At 46.6% G+C, this 22,876-nt stretch overlaps 1 protein-coding gene across 43 annotated transcripts in view, besides 4 other annotated features; it reads right to left on the bottom strand.

Annotated features, from left to right (window-relative positions):
• Positions 1-22,876, bottom strand: part of INPP4A (inositol polyphosphate-4-phosphatase type I A) — a 149,806-nt gene that overhangs the window by 67,610 nt on the left and 59,320 nt on the right. For 38 of the 43 annotated variants that reach the window (XR_922915.3, XR_007074203.1, XM_047444199.1 and 35 more), the window contains exons 2-4: positions 7,758-7,819; positions 6,629-6,837; positions 6,052-6,096 (exon numbers count right to left, since the gene is read on the bottom strand). Coding sequence is in view for 40 of the 43 variants with exons in the window: in XM_047444199.1 (XP_047300155.1) it covers positions 6,052-6,096; positions 6,629-6,734 (151 nt within the window). In the remaining 3 variants the exon portion in view is untranslated. Of the gene's footprint in view, positions 1-5,147; positions 6,030-6,051; positions 6,097-6,628; positions 6,838-7,757; positions 7,820-22,876 lie in introns of those variants that run through there. The other 5 variants (XM_047444204.1, XM_047444203.1, XM_047444211.1 and 2 more) reach the window with 2 other exon arrangements.
• Positions 6,159-6,659: an enhancer, noted in NCBI's record as "H3K4me1 hESC enhancer chr2:99136587-99137087 (GRCh37/hg19 assembly coordinates)". NCBI's record gives its function as "activates a minimal SCP1, AML or CMV promoter by ChIP-STARR-seq in primed H9 embryonic stem cells {active_cell/tissue: H9 hESC(primed)}" and the evidence as "EXISTENCE:reporter gene assay evidence [ECO:0000049][PMID:30033119]".
• Positions 6,660-7,160: an enhancer, noted in NCBI's record as "H3K4me1 hESC enhancer chr2:99136086-99136586 (GRCh37/hg19 assembly coordinates)". NCBI's record gives its function as "activates a minimal SCP1, AML or CMV promoter by ChIP-STARR-seq in primed H9 embryonic stem cells {active_cell/tissue: H9 hESC(primed)}" and the evidence as "EXISTENCE:reporter gene assay evidence [ECO:0000049][PMID:30033119]".
• Positions 18,402-18,461: an enhancer, noted in NCBI's record as "active region_16267". NCBI's record gives its function as "activates an Ori minimal core promoter by ATAC-STARR-seq in GM12878 lymphoblastoid cells {active_cell/tissue: GM12878}" and the evidence as "EXISTENCE:reporter gene assay evidence [ECO:0000049][PMID:35858748]".
• Positions 18,922-18,981: an enhancer, noted in NCBI's record as "active region_16266". NCBI's record gives its function as "activates an Ori minimal core promoter by ATAC-STARR-seq in GM12878 lymphoblastoid cells {active_cell/tissue: GM12878}" and the evidence as "EXISTENCE:reporter gene assay evidence [ECO:0000049][PMID:35858748]".

Raw genomic sequence — 22,876 nt, 5'->3', positions numbered from 1 at the left:
CCAGAAGCTGAGAAGATGCTGGTGCCATGCTTGTATAGCCTGCAGAACCATGAGCCAATTAAACTTCTTTTCTTTATAAATTACTCAGCCTCAGGTATTTCTTTATAGAACTGCAAGAACAGACTAATACACCATTTTTCTTAAATAAATGCTACCCAGAGTGCTGTAAGCCTCTGTTAATTTTCAGAGTTCTGAACCAATTGATTTTGACCATTTTTGCCAGTATACTCATTGCCTTTATAGAAAAGAAGATTTTTGGAAGTCTTCACTCTGCCATATATGCCCTCATCATTCTTATTTTTAAATGACAACTAGTGGTTTAAAATTAATAAACTGATTTTTATTTCCAAAAATTAATTTTGGTTCTCTGTAATATCTTCTCATGTATCTTCATGAACCTTCATTATTTATTGGATACAATAAAATACAAAAAGCTTAGGTTTTTCTGTTCAATGAGCTTTAACAATCATAAACACCCATGTAAGCACCATCAAAACAAGATAGCACAACTTTTTCATCAGACTAGAAAGTTCCCTCTTGTACAAATCTCCTAGTTTTGCAAGCATTTTCTGATTTCCATCACTATTCTTTTGTCTGTTCTTGAATTTCATACAAATGGAATGTTTTCGAGACTCATCTGTGTTGTTACATGTATTGATAATTCATTCTTTTTTAAAAAATGAGTCATATTCCATTGTACAATTTATTTATTCTACTGTTAATAGACATTTGGGTTGTTTTCCGTTTTGAACTATTAAATAAAGGTGACATAAATGTTGTTGTTCATGTCTTTTTGTGAACACTTTTTCATTTCTTCTGCATAATTACATACAACTAAAATATATTTAACTTTATGAGAAGCCAACAGTTTTCCAATGTGTTTGTATCATTTTCCACTCCCACCAGCAATATACAAAAGTTCCAGTTGGGTAGAGTGTTTTGTTTTGTTGTTGTTGTTGTTGTTAATTTTACCCATTCTAATAGATGTGTTTTAATTTGCGGTTACATGATGACTTATGCTGTTAAGCATCATTTTAACATGTGCTTATTGTTCATTTGTATAACTTATTTTGTCTAGTGTCTGCTCAAGTCTTTTGCTCATTTTAAAAATTTGGTTGTTTACTATTTATTTGTCCTTTGTGAAGTATACGTGTTGTGAATATTTTTTTCCAGTTTGTGGTTCATCTATTCATTTTCTCAGTGATGTCTCTTATGGACAGCAATTTCTTATTTTGATGAAATTCAATGTATCTTTTTTAAATTTTAGGAAGTGGTAGGCAGAGAAGCCCCTCTCTGACAAAAAGTACCTATGTCCTAATCCTCAGAAACTATGAATAGATTACATTACATGGCAAAAGGGACTTTACAGATGTGATTAAGTGATCTTCAGATGGATTATGCAGATGGGCTCAATCTATCACAGGAGCCCTTAAAAATAGAAGAGGAAGGCCTTAGGGTGAATCATAAAGATATAACAATGGAAGAAGAGGCAGGAGAGATTCCAAGCATGGAAGGCACTAGACCTGCCACTGCCAGCTTTGAAGATGGAGGAAGAGGACTGTAAGTCCACAAGAGGAATGTGAGTGGCCTCTATGAGCTGGGAACAGGCCTTAACTGATAGCTAGCAAAAAAATGGAGTCCTAAAATTTAAAACCACTAGCAACTGAATTCTGCCAACAACGCGAATGAGCAAGGAAATAGATAGGAAATAGGCCCCAGAGGCCTTCTAAATAAATCCAGCCCTGCTAACACTGATTTTGGTGTTGTGAGACTCTAAGCAAAGACCCAGTGAGCACACTGGATTTCTAATCTAAGGGAACTGTAAGATAATACATTTATATTGCTTTAACATGCTAAATTTCTGGTAATTTGTTATGGCAGCAGTAGCAAACTAAAACAAACAGTGCTTTTTGTGCTCTGTCCAAATCTTTGCCTACCCTGAGTTTGAAAGTTCTCCTATTTTTCTTCTAGAGGCTTCAAGGTTTTATTACTATTTTAAGTTCTCTTTTGTTTCTTCTATTATGTCTGCCTGGACAGGAATTCCCTAATTTGATTGATCTACTTGTCTCTTCTTTAAGTTACAAAGTACCCTAAAATGACCTGTGGCCTCTCTCTACCTGCCCTTTTATCAGGTGTGAGTTTTCTTGACACCTATGCAAGGTAGGAATATTCAGGTCTTTCAGGCAGTAATGATGGCAGACAGACGTAAGGTACAGCAGGTGGCCAAAGGCTGGGAAGACTGAGATTACTTTAAGGGTTGATGGTCCCATGGCCACCTTCAGAACATGCCTTCGTACAAGGGACAATCTCTCCTGGCCTCCTCCCCCAACCCAGCCTATCTAAATTTCAACCAGGGTTTGATTCCTGGCTCAAGTTCCATAGCTTCCATTAAGTTTTCTCTGAGCAGCCTGCAGGCTCACTTACGTCATTCATTTGGCATATTTCCATAGAAACCACACACCTCTGATATATAAGCCTTGTCTCTCCAACCTGATCGTCTGTAATCCCAGCTGAATAAACACTAAATAAATGCTGTTGAGGTAAACTGCATATATTTGATTCAACAATGCTATATTCAAGAGTGTATCCTAAGGAAATAATCAGCAACATGTATGAAAGATCTATGTATGAATACGTTCACTGTGATAGTGTTTATAATGGCAGATTGGGAAGAACCTGAATGTCCAGCAGTAGGAGGCTGGCTAAAATAAGTATGGCACAGCTCTATTAGAGACTCTATGAAGGCATTTAAAATGATCAAGCAGATCCCATATATATTAAAAAAGGTATTTTGCCACATGAAAAAAGAATGTCAAGAGCACTAGGATGACATGTTTGGAAATAATTCCATACTTCCACAACCAAAAATCATTCAAAATCTCCATATAGTACTCTGTGAGGGTCAAACATATATATTTGGAAGGATATATACCAAAGTGATAACTGACTACCTCTCTGCAACATTTTCTGTATTGAAGGTTTTACAATGAACATACTTTTTTAAAAATTTAAAGTTTTATTTTAAAAGTCAACACATTTGTCCATTCAATAATCCAGCTCCCACTCCTCGCTTTTTAAAAAACTGGGGTGGCCAGGCGCGGTGGCTCACGCCTGTAATCCCAGCACTTTGGGAGGCCGAGGCGGGCAGATCACGAGGTCAGGAGATCGAGACCATCCTGGCTAACACAGTGAAACCCCGTCTCTACTAAAAATACAAAAAATTAGCTGGGTGTGGTGGTGGGTGCCTGTAGTCCCAACTACTCGGGAGGCTGAGGCAGGAGAATGACATGAACCCAGGAGGCGGAGCTTGCAGTGAGCCGAGATTGTGCCACTGCACTCCACCCCGGGAGACAGAGAGAGACTCCGTCTCAAAAAAAAAAAACAAAAAAACAAAAACAAAAACAAAACAAAAAAAACTGGGGTAAAATTCACTTTATATAAAATTAATCCTTACTTTTTAAAGCAGTTTCTTCCTCCATGTGCCCAATTAACATGACTATATTACTGTTTTTCGTTCACCAGATTCAGAAATGTCCTGATTTATAGGCGGATGAGGATTTTTAACTCAATTATACCAACTGTCATTCTCTCTCCATATGCAATCATTTTAGCTCAATTTGTGTTAAATCCACATTGTCATGATGAAAGTTAAGCACATATTACTCATTAAGAACCATGTGGGATTCCTTCCACTTCTCTCTTGTGATGACCCTGTTTCCTGGATCCCATGACTTCTCTGCTCAGTGTGGTCCCTCTTTAGGATGAGAACACATCCTCCACTAGCTTCCGGAGAAAGAATGCAGGGGAAGTAAATTTTTGCTGTACAACTCTGTGCAGCTGAAACAAGTTTCTTCCTACACTCACATTTGACTGATAGTCTGGTTGGGCAGAGAATTCTGGGTTGAAAATATAATTAAAGGTGTTGTCTCACTGTCTTCAAGTTTCCAATGTCACTGAGACATTCCATGCCAGTTTTATTCCTGATCCTTGGGTATGACCTGTTTTTTTTTTTCTTTCTGGAAGTTTTCAGGATCTTCATTTTATTCCCTGTGATCCGAAATTTCACCACAATACACCTTGTTATGGGTCTCTTTCAGCATTGTGCTGGGCCTTGGTAGACATTTTTAACCTACAGACACATTCTTCAGTTCTCGGAGATTTCCTCTTTCTTTGCATTTCCTCCCTTAACATTCTCTTCTGTTTTTTCTTCTAAATATCGGACCTTCTGGATTTACTCTCAAAATTTCCATTTCTATTTCTTACCCACTTTCTACTTTGTTTTTAAAATCTTACTTTCTGGAAGAATTCCTTGACTAACTTCCAAACTTCATAGAATTTTTTAAATTTTGTCTATCATATTTTAAACTTCTAAGATTGTTCTTGTTCTTCAATTGTTCTTTTTATCTTTATAGTGTCCTGGTTTTGTTTTATAGATATACTATCTTTTCTTGAGTATACAAATTATAATTTCTTTCTTTCTTTTTTTTTTTTTTTTTGAGACAGAGTCTCGCTCTGTTGCCCAGGCTAGAGTGTAATGGTGCAATCTCGGCTCACTGCAACCTCCGCCTCCTGGCTTCAAGCGATTCCCCTGCTTCAGCCTCCCGAGTAGCTGGGATTACAGGCACGCACCATCATGCCTGGCTAATTTTTGTATTTTTGTAGACACAGGGTTTCACCATGTTGGCCAGGCTGGTCTTGAACTCCTGACCTCATGTGATCCGCCCACCTTGGCCTCCCAAACTGCTGGGATTACAGGATTGAGCCACCATGCCTGGCCAATATAAATTATTATTTCTTTAAAACTTTCTGCAATGTCTCTGTTTCTTCCAAATTCTATTTTTTGTTTCTTTTTTATTATTATTTTTTAGAGACAGGGTATCCCTCTGTGGCCCAATCATAACTCACTGCAGTCTCAAACTCCTAGGCTCAAGGGCTCCTTCCACCTCAGCCTCCTTAGTAGCTGGCAATACATGCGTGTGCCACTACAGCCAGGTAAGTTTTTTTTTTTTCTTTTTTAGAAACAGGGTCTTGCTATGTTGCCCAGGCTGATCTCAAACTCCTGGCCTCAAGCAATCCTCCTGGCTTAGCCTCTCAAAGTGCTAGGATTACAGGTGTGAGCTACTGTACCCGGCCAGTAGTGTACTTACACTTTTATGGGTTTTGCAATTTGTCCAAGTCTTTTGGGGCTGGGGGGTGCTTAACCACCTTGATCTTCTTTGTCTCTCAAACAAGCAGTAGCATCCTCACGTAGCACAGGAGGAAACTGTTCCAGCAAGGTCGAGTGGCAGGCTCAAGGCCATGTGGTTAGCCTGGCATGGTCAGGGCTGGAATCCAGGTCATCTGACTCCCCAGGAGGTGCCTCTTTTATGTCACACCACCTCTTGGACATTGGTGCCAGGCCACCAACTAATGTTGACCAAGGAATGGGAAAAGGGGAGAGGAGCGCTGGGTAGCATTGGGCTCTGATGGAGAGGCGTCTCAGGCCTCCTGGGTAAGCACAGTGATGCCACGTATCGCTGACCCCAGACTCAGCACATTCTGATCCACTTTTTAGTATATTCTTATCTGATCCTGAGAAAGAGAGCATGCAGGTGCCAATGTTGCCTTTTATACAATAGGGAACTGAGGGCTAGAGAGCGAAACTCAGCCAACACAAGGCCTTGCAGCCAGGGGCAACAAAGCTGAACTCTATGCCCGGTTTCCCCAACCCCTCCTTCCCTTTCCCCCATTGGGGTGGGGGTGGGGAGGGTCTCTGTTGGCAGCTCTAGGTGGGCTCACCTCCCTGTCCCCAGCCACCTGTGGAGAGCATACCCCCAAGGGGGCGGGCCCCATGCTGAGGAGACAGGAGCCTGTGGGCACGGAGGCTCCAAGGTGCCTTCCCATCCACAGAAGTTCACAACTGTGAGGGCTCCGTCTTCTCAGAAACGCTGCAGCAGTGGTGGCAGCAGCAGCAAGCTCTCTGAGACAAGCCCATGCACTGGTGGTAGTGTTTTTGTTTTCATTTTTAAGTAAAATATTTTTTAAAACAAAAAAATAATGAAAGATACCTACCTAAGCTAAATTCTAAAATGGGCTCATCTGGGTCTTGTATATTTCCTGAATAGAAAAGAAATGACAGAAAAATCATCCTTAATAAACTTTTCTCTGTTTTCAGATTAAATGCACAAATGACCCTCTACTTCCCCCCAACAACAACAAAAACTGCCATGCAAGACAATTTCTTTATTTTAAAAATATTTTGTTTTTGAGATTGCTAAGAAGTCCCTGACCCCACAACCAAACCCCTGCTCCTCCTCAGATCTACACATCCACAACAGGGAGGGCTTTTACCATGGCCTGGGCATGGGCCAGCAAAACACTTGGACATTCCCACACTACCCTGGTGGTGCCCCTGCCACCAAACTGGAAAACTAATGTAGTCAGGCTCCAGCAGAAGCGGTTCACAGGAAGAGGGCTGACATCCCCCTTCCCTATTTCCTGGTTCAACCAGAAGGATGCCAAACCAGGGTACCCTGTAGTCTAGGGTAGTCATGGGGAATCATTGGGTACCTGCCAGCACTGCTGCAGTGTGGAGCCCAGGTGCTGTGAGCTCATACCTGGAGCCCGGTGCAGGCCCTGTGAGGCTCACCTGCCAGAGAGAGGCCCAGCATGTCGGCCGCCACGTCGATGGTGGAAGCCCGCTGCATTGCACGGGCCCTGGCACCATGGCGAGGGCTGTGCTCTCTTGCTGTCATGATGTCATTGGTGATGATGTGCTTCTTGATCCTCGGTCAGACCACGCCTGATTACCCGGGAAGTGCTGGCACCGAGCCCTAGTCCACTAAAGTGGCAGTAGCCCTGAGAAAAGGAGCACTTGTAAGAAACCATGGGGACGGTGATGGAGAGAAATCATGCTCTCATTTAGAAAGAACGTGACCTACCGGGGGCGAGGTACAGTGACAGGGTTCCCCAGCATGTGAGGAACCGGGGTGGACTGTCCACTGCTCCCTGCCCCTTCTGGTCACTTCTTCCTCCCCACTCCCCAACACAGGGTGTCCATGGGATCCCTTGAGGATGTCCTGTCCTCTTCAGCAGAGATATGCCACAGTGAATGATGGTTTTCATATAATTATAAAATATGGCTTTCGAGATTTTCTTGTTCTCTTTATTATGCTCTTCTGTTGGCAAGTCTCTTAGAACCTTTAAATATTTAAATCAATTCACCACAACCTCTGTGAGAAGGGTAAGAGCTGCAGAAGAGTCTGCTGTCCACGGGCTACATACAGGTGGCAAAACACTAGTGAGACAAAGCTCACAACTCTAACCTGCTGGCTTTCTTCCCAGAGCTGCATAAACTTCACGTGTGTCTGGGTCTCAGGCTTTCCTTCCCGCAAAGCATGTAATCTGGGCCTAAGCGAAGTGGAGGGTGCTGTGCTATGGAAAGGGAGGGCTCTGGGTAAAACACTGCCACAGGCTGAGTCACACGCTTCACATGGCTCAGAGCTCCAGAGCTCACACTCTGCTCTCAGAACTAGATTAAGCAGCGAGAAGGTGTTTCAGGTTTTTCCAACCCTATATGCTACAACTCCTGCTGTCTCTAGAAAGAACCAACCTTTACAAGTTAAGATAATTAGACTGAGCAATAAGCCTAGTTTAAAACACTCTCTCAGAGGTCTTCATATTTCCAGAGACAGCCCTGATCTTCTCAAAGGGTGTCCACACCCTGTGCCTGAAGGACCTGGGCTCCTGTCCTTGGGTTAATTCACCAAACAACTTACTGGACATGTTTGCTCTCGGACCATGTGGCATTTCTTCATAGAAGCATGTCCAAATCCATCATCTAAAAATAAGAAAGCGAAAACTTAACAAGCTGGTCAAACATGAAGTTTCTGAGAGACTGCAATGCCTAGAAACGTGGAGGCCAAGAGCTACTCCATGTTTGTTTGAGCTCCACACCCCAATCCAACCTTCTGGCTCAAAAATACAAGTTTTGCTCAAACCCAAAATAAATGAGAAAGAGAAAGCACATATTCCTCTCCCCTGCAGGGCTGATCTGCTGGGGGAGTCTGGGCCTGTCCTAAAGAGCCAGGTGAGCAGCTGGGTGTGGTTTAGGGGGATGAGAATGTGAGACCAGTTTCCCCACTCACAAACTGTAGGCCCTGGGAGAAGCTGCAGGGCCCTCTTAAGGCCCTGCCCTTCAGGATGGATGGGCTGCACCCATCTCATGGGGCTGCAATGAAAACCAAATGTGCGTGAACAGGAGAGGGCTCTGCAAACTCCACTGAGTTCCCACAATGCTGCTGCTGCTGGGCCCCCAGGCCCCACTCAGTCCCAGCACCACAGGGGCTGTTTGGCAGGCCACAGGGCAGGGCTCAGCTCATGAGCCATCCCTCTCAAAGCACCAGGGTCGGGGAATCAGATGACCGCAAGAGCAGAGTGCTTAGCCCAGGGCTGACTCAGTTTCTCTCACAGGCTATGCTCCTATCCCTCCCACTAGGGGTGCCCAGGGACCTTCAGTCTGGGCATCTCTGCAGACACGGCAGTGGCCTGGTGGGGGAGCCACAATAAAAATCACCAAGGGGAAGATTTGCTGGTTAACGTCAAAAGGCACACAAGTGAAGCAATGTGCAATGTGACTGGTAAAACAGGAAAGTGCTTACAGTACTAATATCTGCTTTTTACAGTAATGGTTGTACACATTAACAAAAAACTCACCAAAATGCAAGTGGCAAAAGGTAGGAATTTATAAATGAGGAACACACATGGTAAACATTTTGAAAAAGTGACCAAACTCATTAAGTAACGCAATGCTAAATATGCTTTCCTTCACCTAAATTCGTCCTCCAAAAGAGTTTTGTTTGTTCTTCAATGAGAATACACATTGCTGGAGGACCTGGGGGAAGCTGTCTAGGACTCTCCTATATTGTTACTCCATCTTAGAGTAGTTCAAACATTCAGAAAGCCATCTGGCATTAATTATCAAAATTTGTAAATGATAACAAAACTCTTGCCAATAGTATAGAACATGGAAAAGACTACTGGGTAAAAATGCTTATTGCAGCATTACTTATAATAATAAAGCAATCCAAATGCCCAGCTATAGGTAAGAAAAGAATGTTCTGGAACATCCATAAGACACACTATTATCTGGCTATCAAAATGATCATAATAAAGCCAACAGACACAGGAGAAGTTCTTCAACCCCATTAGTCATCAGGGAAATGCAAACTGAACCCATGAGATACCTCTGCACAAGCACTGGAATAGCAAAAATGACAAAAGACCAACAGTACCAAGTGTTGATGAGGACGTGGAGTAACTGGAAGTGATACTACTGGTAGAGCGTAAATAGTCACCCGCGCTGGAAAACTGGCCGTCTCTACTTAAGTTGAACATGCACCTACCCTGTGACCTGGCATACAACTCAGAGGGGGAGCTGCTAACAGAAACGCACACTTATGCTCACCAAAAGCCTGTAGAGAAGGTTTAGAACAGCAACATTCACAGTAGCAAGATACCTGAGACAACCTAAATGTTCGTCAACAGTAGAACAGATGAAACAATGGGATGAGTCTCAGAAACAACGTCAAGGGGAAAAGTTAAGACCATTCTAGGCAAATCCATTCATACGAAGTTCAAGCACAGGCCAAACGAATCTGTGGCATCCAGAGTATGGAGAGTGGTATCCTGAAGGGGTGGGTACTGACTGGGGAGGGTGAGAGGGCTTCCGGGGCTCTGGAAATGATCTGGGTGCGGGTTACACACAGACTTTACTGTGTGAAATTCACTGAGCTGTACACAGGTGATTTTTATACCCCAATACAAAGTGTATACAAGACAACATAGCATTAAAAAAAAAACTTACGTGAGTTCTGCATCATGTGTTTTTAAAGAAATAGCCCACCTTTGCTCTGTTTGCAGCCATTTAAAGAGGTACTGTACAGAGGGGACAGCCAGCAGGCGGCTGCATCAAGATGACAGCCATGCTGGGGGTGTGATCATGGGGAACTGTCTTCCTCCTTCTCTAACAGCCATACTCTTGTGTCACTGAAGATTTGCACCCCATGCTGGCCAGAGGCAGGGCAGCACCCCAGGCATGACTTCAGCTTGAAGAAGAGGCTCTTCCCTTTTGAACCTTTTCCCAGTGTGTCTAAAGCATTCCATTGCCTGCCTTGCTGCCCTGCTCAGCCTGTTAGTGAAGGTGTCGGTCACCCCCTTCACTTATGACAGTGGAGACAGGCCACCTAACAGAGGGACACATCTGTACCCCAACATCCTGCCAGCCCTGGGGAAGCTCCGAAACTCACCCATGCCTACCCCTTTCCACCTCTCCCTGCAGGGTCCCTGCCCACTCCACCAGCCTGCTCTGCCCTTAGGAGGGTGGTTTATATCCTAGGCATCATGAGGTTTCTGGAGATAGAAATGCTTAAAGGGGTACATCTACAGACTAATTTTACACTTGAGAGAGTTCACAGGTCACGGAAACTTTTAGGTCAAAAAGACCTTAGAAGCACTTCATAGTTATTTGGGGACATTTAATTAGAATCTGCAATTTAAGTCATCAAGGCCCAGAACGCAAAGCTAATTTGCACAGCTGAACTCGATTTCTCTTCTTGGTCTCATTAATATAAGGTAATTCACCAAGGATTCGTATATTCCCAAGGTCCTTGTTTTTCCTCCCAGCTCCATTTGAAGACCAGAGTTCATTAGGAGGAAAAACTGCACTTAAGCAGAAGAGGAGACAGAATGTGTGGGAGCTGTCTAGGGGGCTGGAATTTTTTCTTGGGGTCAAGAAAAAAGAAGCAATAACCCATGAAGTGAGCAGCTCCCATTCCTCACTCTGCGCACTCATGTGACCCCTCCGACAAGAGGCGGCAGGCCATCAAGTGGACAGTAAACCCTGAGGTTCTATCCCACTTCCCATGATGTCCCTTCCAGCCATGGGGGGCAGGGAAAGGGGTGGTGGAGAGGGCACTGGCAGGACGGGAGGGGTGTTAGGATTCACACAGGACTAGTGAGGTGGCAAGGCCTTCAGCAGCAGTCCTGGGAAACGTTTGCCAGAGGCCTAGCGGGAGTACTGCAGGTCCCTCCACCTCAGGAACCTCTCAGGCTCCCCGGAGCTGGAGTTGAGGGGTGAGGATTAACACATCAGAGCTCCACTTTTGCTTATTCACTGGGGTTCTTCTAAGAATAATTTTTAAAAGGAGTTGCACGGATGAGGTCACGGATGCTCAGAGTGATTTTTTTCAAGGTCACATGGAGATGAAATATGAACTATCGTTATCAACCCAAAGAAAAAGCCCAAGTGCAATGGGGGCCCCTCTCCCTGCCCCACCCACCGGATCCCGTCCTACCCCACCCCCGTCCTACCCCACCACAGCCTATTGCTGTCACTGTGGCAGCAAATGGGCTGAGAAGCTTCACTGTGCCTCTGCTCTCCAAACACAGGCAGCACAAGAGAGAAAGTAAAATGAAAGGCTGGCATGAAGCTGAGCATGAGTCAGCAGCCTCTAAGAAAGAGGCTACTTTAGAGGGGCAGAAAGAGGAAAGGACTTACTCTCAGAAACCCCAAATCCAAGACAGCTAAAATCATAGATCAGTGAGGTGTCACACCATTCACTGGCACTGAAAGTTACTATTAATAATAACCTCAGAAAGACAAATATCACCTTCCTGCAGACAGACAGGAAGGATACTGCAAAGGATGCGGATGAACCTCCAGCTGGAAGAGGTGCACAGAGCAAGGCATGTGGGAAGGGCGTGGAGCTGCCCTGCCCGCCCTATGTGCCACTCTCCGGGAACCTCTGCATGCTCAGCTATCCAAAAGCTCCCAGAACTCAGTCCTTTGGAGTTTTGGGGTTTTGTACTTTTTTTTTTTTCCAGCTTTTAGAGACAGGGTCTTGTTCTGTCTCCTAGGCTGGAGTGCAATGACATCAGGCTTATTGTAGCCTCAAACTCCTGGGCTCAAGCCATCCACCCATCTCAGCCTCCTGAGTAGCTGGGACCACACGTGTGTGCCACCACATCTGGATAATTACTAATTTTTTAAAATTAGAGATGAGGTCTCACTATGTTGCCCAGGCTGGTCTCAAACTCCTGACTTCAAGCAATCCTCCCACCTTGACCTCCCAAAGTGGTGGGATTACAGGTGTGAGCCATAACACCTGGCCTCCTTTTGGGTCTTTAATGAAAGCTTCATTATAGACATAATTAACTAAATCACTGGCCATTGATTTACCAGCTCAACCTTCAGCCTCTCTCCCCTCCCCAGAGGTGGGAGGGTGGAAGACTGTAAATTCCAGCCCTCTAATCATGGGATTGGTTACCCTGGCAACCAGCCAAATCCTAAATTTAAGAGCCCCCAGCCACCAGTCATCTCATTAGCATACAAAGATATACTCTTACCGCTCCAGAGATTCTCTCATTAGCATACAAAGATACTCTTACCGCTCCAGAGATTCTAAGAATACCTCAGGAAAAGAGGGAGGTAGACCAAGTATATATTTCACAATACCACACCCCCTCTCTAACTCCAGGTGGGGCTCAGAACACCCTGAACACATCCCCTGAGCCTCCCCTACTCCCAATATTCCCTAGGCTAGGCTTGGACCTCACCACTCTGGAGACTCCATGGTGTGAGATGACTTTAACGTAAAGACGACGGGTTCACTGAAGTGGCTCTACTAGAGCTGTTAATCCAACCTAGAAAGAAAATGTGACCCACTCTCTACCACAGTGTTCCAGACCAGCCTCCGTTTCCATGGGTCCCCTAGGGCCAGATGGAAACTGAATCTACCCAGGGATCTACTCAGACCTTGTCTACACCTAACAGGGGTCCTGGGACCCTTGGGGGCTTCAGGGCCACCAATTCTTGAAGCCCAGCAAATAAGAGAACAACGGGCACCTAGGAGGACTTTCTATGACATGGCACAAACATGGGGATGGGCACAGGGTAAGTAAAATGCAGCCACTGATGCCATAAACTGAATGGGCCAGAGCCAGAATGGCTGCGGTGACAGGGAGGGGCAGCAGGGACAAGGCAAGGCCAACAGAGAGAACAGGAGCAGTAACTCCAGAATGGCCAAGCCCAAGGTGACCAGCAAACTGGAGGCTCCACTCCAAAGACAAGGCAGCACTGGCCTGTGTGCAGGCTTGCCACAACAGCTCACATTCTGCTCCCAAGCATCCGCTCAGGTCTGTCACCAGCCAAGGTACGTGCTGCATACAGCAAAGACCAGGAAGGCCTGCTTCCAAGTATTCCAGAGCAATAGCCAATGGCAGCAGAAACTTCCTCTGGTTTATATTTGGAATGAGTGAGTAAGTGAGTGAGTGAGTGAGTGAGTGAATGAATGTCTCTACATAACCAATGAGAAAGTTAAGTGCTATGAATCAACTTTTAATGCAAAGCAAATGATAAAACAGGTATGAGAAGAAGAGCGTGTGACCATGAGATGAGAACACACCAAAACTCATTCTTCCTTAAATATGGCCAACTTGAGGGGGCCGCCCAGGAAGAAGAGGATGTTGAACACTGGAGAAAACTGCCATCTGATGTCAAGTGGGAAGGGGTTGTGGGGTTGGCATGGGTCATAAAAGCAGAAGGACTGATTCTGGGAGGCGATGCAGGAGGAGTTGGGCCTACGATACAGCAGTTGGGGTCCTTGATTCTAATTTGCCCACTTTGGAGACTACTCCAACCCTGGGTGTCCTTCCCCATCCTACGGTGCAAGGGAATAGTGGAAGCAAGCAGGCCTTCCATTTTTTTTTCTTTCAAACAAAAGCCATCTGCTTAGGAAAGATCTTAACCTTTTAAACAAAGTCAAATATGCTTCTCTAGCATAAAATACAAAAACAAAAAATGCTGCCTCAAAGGCCCAGGTATTAACTAGGATGGAAAGGCCACATGCTGCAGGAACACGGACAAGGTGGAGGGGACCTGGGAGGGGTCTCAGGAAGGCCTTCCTCATGCCTCTCGGGGCTCTGGCTCCAAGCCCACCAGGCCCCCAGCACCCTGGTCCACAAAAGGCTCTTGATACAGTTTGAACGTGTTCTCCAAAGTTCCTGTGTTGAAAACTTAATTGTCATTCTAACAGTAGTGGGAGGCGGGGCACTTAAGAGGTGATTAGGACACGAGGACTCTGTCCTCATGAATGGATTAATGCTGTTTCTGTAGGAGTGAGGGGAGTGGATTCCCGATAAATCGGGAGTTTAGCCCGATTTCCTCTCTGTCTCTCATGCTGGCTTCCACCTTCCACTCTTCCACCATGGGAAGACCCTCACCAGATGCGGGCACCATGCTCCAGGACTTCCCAGCCTCCAGACTGTAAGAAATAAGTTGCTTTTCTTTACAAACTACCCAGGCTGTGGTATGTTGTTGGAGTAGCAGAAAATGGATTAAGACAGGTGTCAACACCTGCCCTTCCGCAGACTAAACCCTTGGATCAACCTGTGAGGCCCAGAGTGGGGCCTCAGGAATCCACCCACTTGCTCAGCTAATCCCACTTCAGATCCCTCCTCCCCCATAGGTGAAAGAGCTGCTGAGCTTCTCTCAGCCTCAGTTTCTGTATAACGGAAATAACACTGGTCTCACCAGGACACACTGAGGAGCAAGCACATATGTGAAGAAACACAGAAAACATCCGCATAGAGCTCAGTACATGGGCTGTCAGCCCTGTGAGGTTGTCACCTTGGCATGTGAGGTTCTCACCTTGGCTTTTCCTAACCTCCCCTGAGGCTGGCCCCCACAGCGCTTGTACTGGAGCCATCTGTGAGCCTGGAAGCCCTTTCTCTACAGCTAAGTCTATGTGAGTTTTACCCAACTTTCCTACCTTCTCCAGTTCCTCCAACCGGAACTTTTCACCAAGGTCCACGGTACTTTGCTTGCGCTACAGTTTATAATCACCAAAAATTAGGCCCAAAGGTTGCTATTGAAAAGGAACATGAGAGCACAGGCCTGTTCCTTGAAGCAATATGGCTTGGTGGCATGGGGGAGGGGAGCCCAGGCAATGGCATCAGACCTGGTGAACCGCTGTGAAGCATGTGACCTTCCACAGGGTCCCATCTCTGTGCATCAGTTTCCTCGCCTGTCAAATGAAGTTACGACTACTGTTGGAAGGAATTCAGAGTCTCCCAATCAGAGGAGTGTGAGTGGACCCTGGACTCCCAGGGAAGTGAGGTGGGTGCTCTGTCCCTCCAGGATAGACATCCATGTTCTGAGGGGGCAGCATCATGGTCCTCTTGTACTGAAGAGGTCTGCTTCCTCCTCCCCTCAGAGCTGGGGCCCAGCCCTCTCCCACCTCCCACCTCCCAGCTCTCTATACCTGCACAGGGCAGGAGAGGGTCACTGTGAGTAAAGCTCTGACTCAAAGGACACTTAACACCCAAGCATGCTGCAAAACATCCATCCAACGCTGCTAGGGCTTAAATACAGGAAAGTAATGTGCTTTAGAAAAATCAAGCACAGGGGCCCAGTAATCCCAGCACTTTGGGAGGCCAAGGCAGGCAGATCACAAGGTCAGGAGATCGAGACCATCTTGGCCAACGTGGTGAAACCCCTTTCTACTAAAAATACAAAAAATTAGCTGGGCGTGGTGGCACGTGCCTGTAGTCCCAGCTACTTGGGAGGCTGAGGCAGAAGAATCGCTTTAACCCGGGAGGTGGAGGTTGCAGTGAGCCCAGATCGCACTACTGCACTCCAGCCTGGGCAACAAAGCGAGACTCCATCTCAAAAAAAAAAAAATTGAATCAAGCACAGGAAGAGAAGTAACATGCTGGCAATGCGTATCCCTTCTCACCTGCAGACACAAATGACCTGACTTAGGGCCCCCGAGCTTGTGCTCACTGGGAGATGTTCATTTATCTCTGGCTTTCCATTTCCCAAGCCCTACTGTCTGCCAGTGATGATGGACAGGCAGCAATGGCAATGAGTTAACTTCATTTACTTAACTGACATGCCTCATTAGTTTAATAAATATGCTTACTACTATAATACAGGGCCTGAACCAGAATACAAATGCACATCCCAGACTCCAATGGAGGGAGTCAGTCACTGTGCTACAGTCTGAATGTGTCCCCCAGAATTCCTTATGTTGAAATGTAGCCATCAATGTGATAGTATTAAGAAGCGGGGCCTTTGGGAGGTGATTAGACCCTGAGGGCTCTGGCCTCATAGGTGGGATTAGTGCTGTATGAAAGGGCTGGAGGGAACTAGGTAGGCCCTTTTTGCCCTTCACCTTTTGTCATGTGAGGACATGGCAAGAAGGCCCTCAGCAGACCCTAAATGCCAGCGCCTTCCCAACATCCACAGGTCTAAGAAGTACATTTCTGCTGTTTACCAGTCTCAGTTATTTTGTTATAGCAGCCTGAACTGACTGAGATACCTTGGATAGGGACATGGATATCCCTGTAAACAAGAGGGCAGAGGAGGATGCTCCAGGAGCAGAACAAGCCCAGACCGTTCCAGCCTTCCTCTTTCACCTCACCAGCCCCTCAAGGTTTCCCATCTCAGTAGATGGAGTTCTGTCCTTCCACTTGCTCCAGGCAAGAAATAACATCCTGGCCTCCTCCTCCTCTCACATCCCACATCCAATCCATTGACAACTCTATTAGCTCTATCTTCCCCACAAGTACGACTTCAACTCCCTTAGTACCCCAACTCCCATACCCTGGGAATTTGACCAGCGTCCCTCCCACAGTCCTCACAGTCTGTGTCCAACTGCAATGACGGGGCCTGTGAACCTCCTAGCAGTGTCTTCATCCTGCTCCTGCCCTGGCCTCTTTGCTGTTTAGACTTTTATCTGGTGTGGCCTTTGCATCAGCCACCCTCTCTGGGACTGCCCTTCCTCAGATAACAAGGCAGGCAATTCCCTCACTTCTTTTATGTCCTTCTTGGTTCCCAGCTTCTCCTGGAGTTCTTTGGGACAGCCCAGTTTACAACTGCAGCTCAGCTCCTTGTGGTTCACCCATATACCATGAACGTTCAGGGGATTTTCTGTAAGAAGCAGTTTGAAAATAAGTTGCCCTGAAAAAAGTGCTTTAAAATGTTTGTGCTGAGCAAAACAGGTGCTCACAATCTGGGAGATGAGTGAGATGTGTCAATAATCACAAGCGCAATGTCTGGGAGGTGCCAGGAGCAGCCTGGGGTGGGCGGGGATCTGCCGACTGCCTTCCACACCACACACTTCAGCCACTCTTTCTTCAGCACCTCCAATTTCTTGCTTCTGCACCTCATGCTGTTTCTTCTCTGTAAACTGGCAATCTCTTTAACACAGCAGTCCCCAACCTTATTGACACCAGGGACTGGTTTTGTGGAAGACAATTTTGGGGGGCTGGTCAAGGGGAGTGGTTTCGCGACGAAACTGTTCCACCTCAGATCATCAGGCATTAGTTAGATTCTCATAAGGAGCACGCAACCCAGATCCCTCACATACGCAGTTCACAACAGGGTTTGTGCTCCTACGAGAATCTAATGCCACCGCTGATTGACAAGAAGTGGAGCTCAGGCAGTAATGCCTGCCACTCGCCTCCTGCTGTGCAGCCCAGTTCCTAACAGGCCACAGGCCAGTACTGGTCTGCAGCCCGGGGACTGTGGACTCCTGCTTTAACAAACAGTTGAGGGTCTATTATGGAGCAGGCCTTAGGGATACAAAGATGATAAGAGGCTTGGTCCAGAGCTACATCACAAAGTGTAACAAAGATGAATGGTAGACAACCTGAGGCCCACAATGGTGGGGGCCAAGCCTCTTCTGAAGCCTTCCCTTGGGTGAGGGGCTGGCTTGCTACTCTGTCCTTTCCAGGCAGCGGCACCCCTGGGTTCTGCAGCCAGGGATTCTGGGGCTTTTTCTTGAGGTGAATCAACCCAGTGTTCCCATACATGACCCCTCTCACTCCCGCGCACCAGGCCTCATTCGTCATTTGATTACCACATCAATTTCACAATACCACAGACAAAGACAACAGGAACACTGTACATGGCGGTCTGCTGTCAGAGCTGCGTGGTTAGGACTGCAGTCAGCGTGCACCAGGAGCAGCGCGGTTCTCTCTCCTACAACAGGCAAGGACTTTGACAAGTCTCATTTCTTACTCCATTGTCACTTGAAACCACTTGAAGCCCTCACACAATTAACTGAAAGTTTGCCCGTCTGTTGTCCAGGAAGTCCTTCCAGCGTGTCACATAAATTTCTGAATAAGTGTATGAAAGGACCGAGGAAAGCATCCAGTATTTCAACCCCCTCATCAAAGGAGACATGCTGCTCCAAGAGGGCCGGGAACTGAAGAGATAAGGACACGGGCTTCCCCGTGACCTGTGAGTTGGGCTTATCTCTGAGTGTGGGTCCACAATAAGGGGGGTATCATCACTCACTCAGAGTTGTTACTCAAAGGTTCATTCCAGGAGACGCAGCTGGAAGACTGTGGAGCATGAACCCAGTCTGGCTCCTCTATGGTGGAGGCGGGAGTGCAGGAGGCTCTAAACCCCAAAGCAGGCTGGGTGTGCCTTATTCATTGCCAAAGATGGTGATTTCTCTTCCCTTTTCTTCTTCCACCCAAACACAAAGCTGTCAGGCCTGGCCTGGTGCCTGCTCCTGCTTCCCTTGCCCAGAGCTGGCCACCTGGAAGCTGGACCCTGACTTGCCCCAGCCACTAGAACAGCCTCTAACCCGAGCTCTGCTTCTCTCCTTCTTCCCTTTCAGGAGAGGTGTGGCTGCAGCTGCTCATGGCTTCTCAGGACAGAATGCAAAGTGGGCGGCCCACATCCCAGCCACAGCAATGTCCTTTGCCTTGCCGTACAGTGTTTTGCATTCACCCCATGCCCTCACCACCCACCCCCTCAACCCAGGGGATGCAGTGACGATGCCATCATGGTAAGGACAGTCATGGGAACTCCTGCTAGCCTGGCTAAGACACTATATAGAGCAGCCAGGACGCTGTGCAGGGGGGTGAGCTTAGGCAGAAAGGCGTATTTGTCTCAGGAGTCTGGGCTGAGCTAAACACCTCAGCAGGAACATGGCTGAGCTGGCCCATTGACTCCAAGGCTGGCAGCAAATGTGGCCCTTCCCCTCTGCTTACCCATGTCCATCATCCTCCCACTCTGCAAATGAGCCAGTCCACATGGTGGGAGCTGAGACAGCCCCCAACTTGAAACTCTCCAGCTCCAGCCACCAGAGGCCGCCTGCATGGGTGCTCTCCCAGTTCTCTCCAGCTTGAGCCAGGCCCCCCAGGCTGGGGGTGGGGGTCACGTTGTAGCATGGGGGCTTCAACACTACCCATGAGCTTGGGTGGGAGAAAGCTCCCACAAAGCAGTGGAGCACCACCACCCCTTCAATCCATCACAACTTTCAGTAACCAAATGGAGATTTCCCTACAGCACGTGTTTCTTAAACTTTAAACAGAATGGTCAAATAACTCTCATGTTAACTAGATGGCTTTACATTGTATCAGACACACAACATAAACACATAATTAGTCATAAACTCTTTTGTTTAGAACATTTAAACAATTAGAAAAAAAGTGATCTATAAATTAACACAAGCAAACCCCAACACAAATGAACTCGGGTTTATATTCCTTTAATGTGAGGGATGGGATGGGCTGTTTTACAGAAAGGATCAGTCACGCATAACCTTGACACTACATCCTCTACCGTCACCCAGCCTGAGGCCAGAAATGGCCAGAATGGCCCCTTCAGGGTCCACCCAGCTATTTGGTCAAAACAGCAGTGGCCAGCGGCCACCATTCCACAAAAAAGTGAGTTGCCAAGCAGGGCAGAGGAGGGGGATGTGGCTACACCTCCCTGGACTGTGAACGAGGATCAAAGCACCCCAGACCGCAGACTCTCCAAAATGTCGTTTTCCTCCTCTGAATGAAATCAAGATTGTTTCAGGAAACAAACGCAGCTTTAGGGCTTGCTGTGTGAAAATGCAGCCCTGAAAATGCTGAGTTCCTTTCCTTGACTCCCCCTCCCTGCCACAGGGGAGTGCCCGCATTGTGGGCCACTCCAGGAGGCAAAGTCCAAATGTGCCCAGGACCCCTTCCTCTTGTGAGGAGCAGCCACCATTCCTCCCCTCGGTCTGTTCACAGCATCGTGTTCTCCCAGGACTTCAACAGTGTCTGCTGCCAATGCAAGCAAGGGACGTAGTTTCTCACAATGTTTCCAATCCACAGAAGAGGGTCAAGAGAGGAGGAGACCAAGAACTTCTCAGGCCAAGGTGCCTTCTGCCCGCTCACCTGCCTCATCTGGTCTCCATGGGAGGAAACACCTTGTCTAGAGGTCTCTGTAGGTAAAAAATCTCAAGGGGGAAGAAATATAAGTGTGAGCAACAACAACACAGCTTGCAAATGCTGCCCACATGTTTTGACTCGCCTGGTCCTCACACCACACCGCTGGGCTGGGAGAGACAGCTATTCTAGTTTGATGCCTGGGAGCCAGGCTCACAATGGTAGAGGGGCTCCCTCAAGGTCAGCAGCAGCAGCAGAAGTAGGACCTAAAGGCAGGCCTTACTAGTCCAGTGCTCTTTCCGATATGCAGAAGAGAGTGCAGAGCACATTAATTCGACTACTACCAAATGCTAATAAAAGGCATCATCTTTTTCAGTTGTAGAGTTCCTCATTATGTCCCGCCCTGTCCCCACCCATGTCTTCATAAGCATCTCCTGTGGTTACTCAGTCTCTGACTCCATCTCCAGCTTTTCCCATCAAGCAACACTAAATTCTAGTCAGGAAACAGGGCTTCCTAGAGAAGCAAAAGGCAGAACTTTAGGATGAGAGCAGATTCTTTTTTGTATCATTCATGTTTGATTTTCTTTTCTTAAATTAAGCTGAAATTAAACCCCTCGAAGAAATATTGTTATTGTTTCTGTCAAAAATAGTTAAAAAATAAAGTTTAAAAAACAAAAATTTGTGAACAGGATAAACAGACAAAACCTAGCCAACAATATCAACTAATAGCAAAGTGAAAAAGCAAGAATATTCTGTATTTCTAATGGTGGAGACAGGGATTCTATAAATATTGTACAGAAATAATATATTTCAACAGGAAAGTGGAAGGGGAAATGCACCCTCCTGCTGAATCAGCAAGACACAACTCAAGCCCAGGCGTCTGTGGTGACGGCTGGCTCTGTGAGCAGGGCTCCTCTGCTCTGCTTTTATGACTACTGTGTTTTATTTGTAACTTCCTTCTATTTACTATTACCAACAGGTTTTACTCAATCCTAATTTGGTAAGGGAAGAGTGTGCAAGCTGTTTTGAGAAACAGTCACCGCTGTCTCCAATTCTCTCTGGTGACATACACCTCACAGTTCAAGAATAAAGCATGTGTCCTCTCTCTCCTACAAAAGCTCCCACGTCCTCTCTTTCAGGTTCAACAAGGAAGCACTGCAGGGAAAGTGAACGAGCTCATCACTCTGGCTGGACACATAAAAAGTCAGGCCCCACATGGGAAACGCAAGCCTCCACCAAGGTCAGCCCACTCATGAGACACAACAGTCCCAAAGGCTCGCCCAGTACTTTTCCCCAAACCTAAAGGCAAAGTGCACCCTTGGAAGAAGAGGTGGGCATCCATGCCACCTCCTAGAGGGGTTGGGCAGATCCCAGCAGGAGGCTGCCTGAACCTTTTCTAAATGGGAAGCTTTGTGTTCTAGTTTATGCCAGGTCAGTGAGCAACCATTAAGCCAACTTTTGGTTTTGTTTACTAGAAAGCAAGTTATTAGTATAGTACTTTAATATTCAGGCAACTTTCAAAAGTCCATGCTAACAGAGCTTTGGGAAAACAAAGAAAAGACAGAGAGCCTAGAGTGAATCTGGTAAGATGGTCTCAGGCTTGCTCAATCACATGATGCAGAATGTCAAGGCCAGCCAAAGCTGTAGATCCCCCTTGCCATTGCCAGTCCTGCACCTTCAGCAGGATGGCACGTGGGCCTGAAGAGGCACTGAAGATTAACACCACACACATCATTTCCTTCTACAGCGCCACGTTAAGAGCAGAACTGATAATAAGTTGAAAGTTAATAATAACGTGCTTCAGACAAGTGGAGTCAGGCAGGCTCTGTTTATTTTTCTAAGCACTAGGAAAGCCTGCCTTCTAATTCGCAAGTGTCAAAATTGGCTTCACGAGAAAATAAAAAATTTTCTGAGTAGCAACAAAATTCCATAAAGGGCTATAAATGTGAAGCAACCATCACAGATCAATGAAATGCCGGGAAGACAATGCTATTTTAGAAACCAGGCAGTAAGCCAGGAGACTGGGGATGACCTGCCCAAGGCCTCCAAGTGGCAGCACCAACGTTACAATGCTGTTTCTAGCTTCCTCAACAACAAACTGAAATCAGGGAGAGACATCTTGGTCCTCTAGGTCCCATGGAAACACAAAGTGGTCACACATTCAGCAACTTTACTACATGTAGATCTCTGGCAAAGTGGTGTATAACCTGTTTATTTTAGCTGTGAAAATGGAATCCTGTTTGAAACATTCAGTGTTGGGGTGAACACTTAGCAGAGACACAAAAGGACTTCAGTCTTCCCTATTCTCATTAAAACAAATCAAAAGGGCAGCAAGCAGTCCTGATGTTTATATAGGACCTTCCTGGAGAGAGGGTTCTATGGCTTCAGCTACTCGGCTGTGTTGCTGGTTGTTCAGCGTTCCGTGTTTGGTGAGGGAGGACCCCCACTGGCAGTCCTCCATGGGCCTCTTCCACAGTGAACTGACCACAGCTCTTTATTGCAAAGCTGACAGTGGCTGGAATAATGAAACCTCAAAAAGAAATGCAGTTTTTAAAAGAGTGCAATAAGCTGTGCCTCTGAGGCCCATGCCCTTCCTTGGGCAGTGCTCTGTAGCTACCCACCAGAGCTGTGGTTGAGTAAGTTCAACCATGTAGGGACAAGTGCCAACTGACACGCAGCACCT

Source organism: Homo sapiens, chromosome 2 (assembly GCF_000001405.40).
Source record: "Homo sapiens chromosome 2, GRCh38.p14 Primary Assembly".
Taxonomy (NCBI): Eukaryota; Metazoa; Chordata; class Mammalia; order Primates; family Hominidae; genus Homo; species Homo sapiens.
This window is presented reverse-complemented; position numbering and strand designations above follow the sequence as displayed.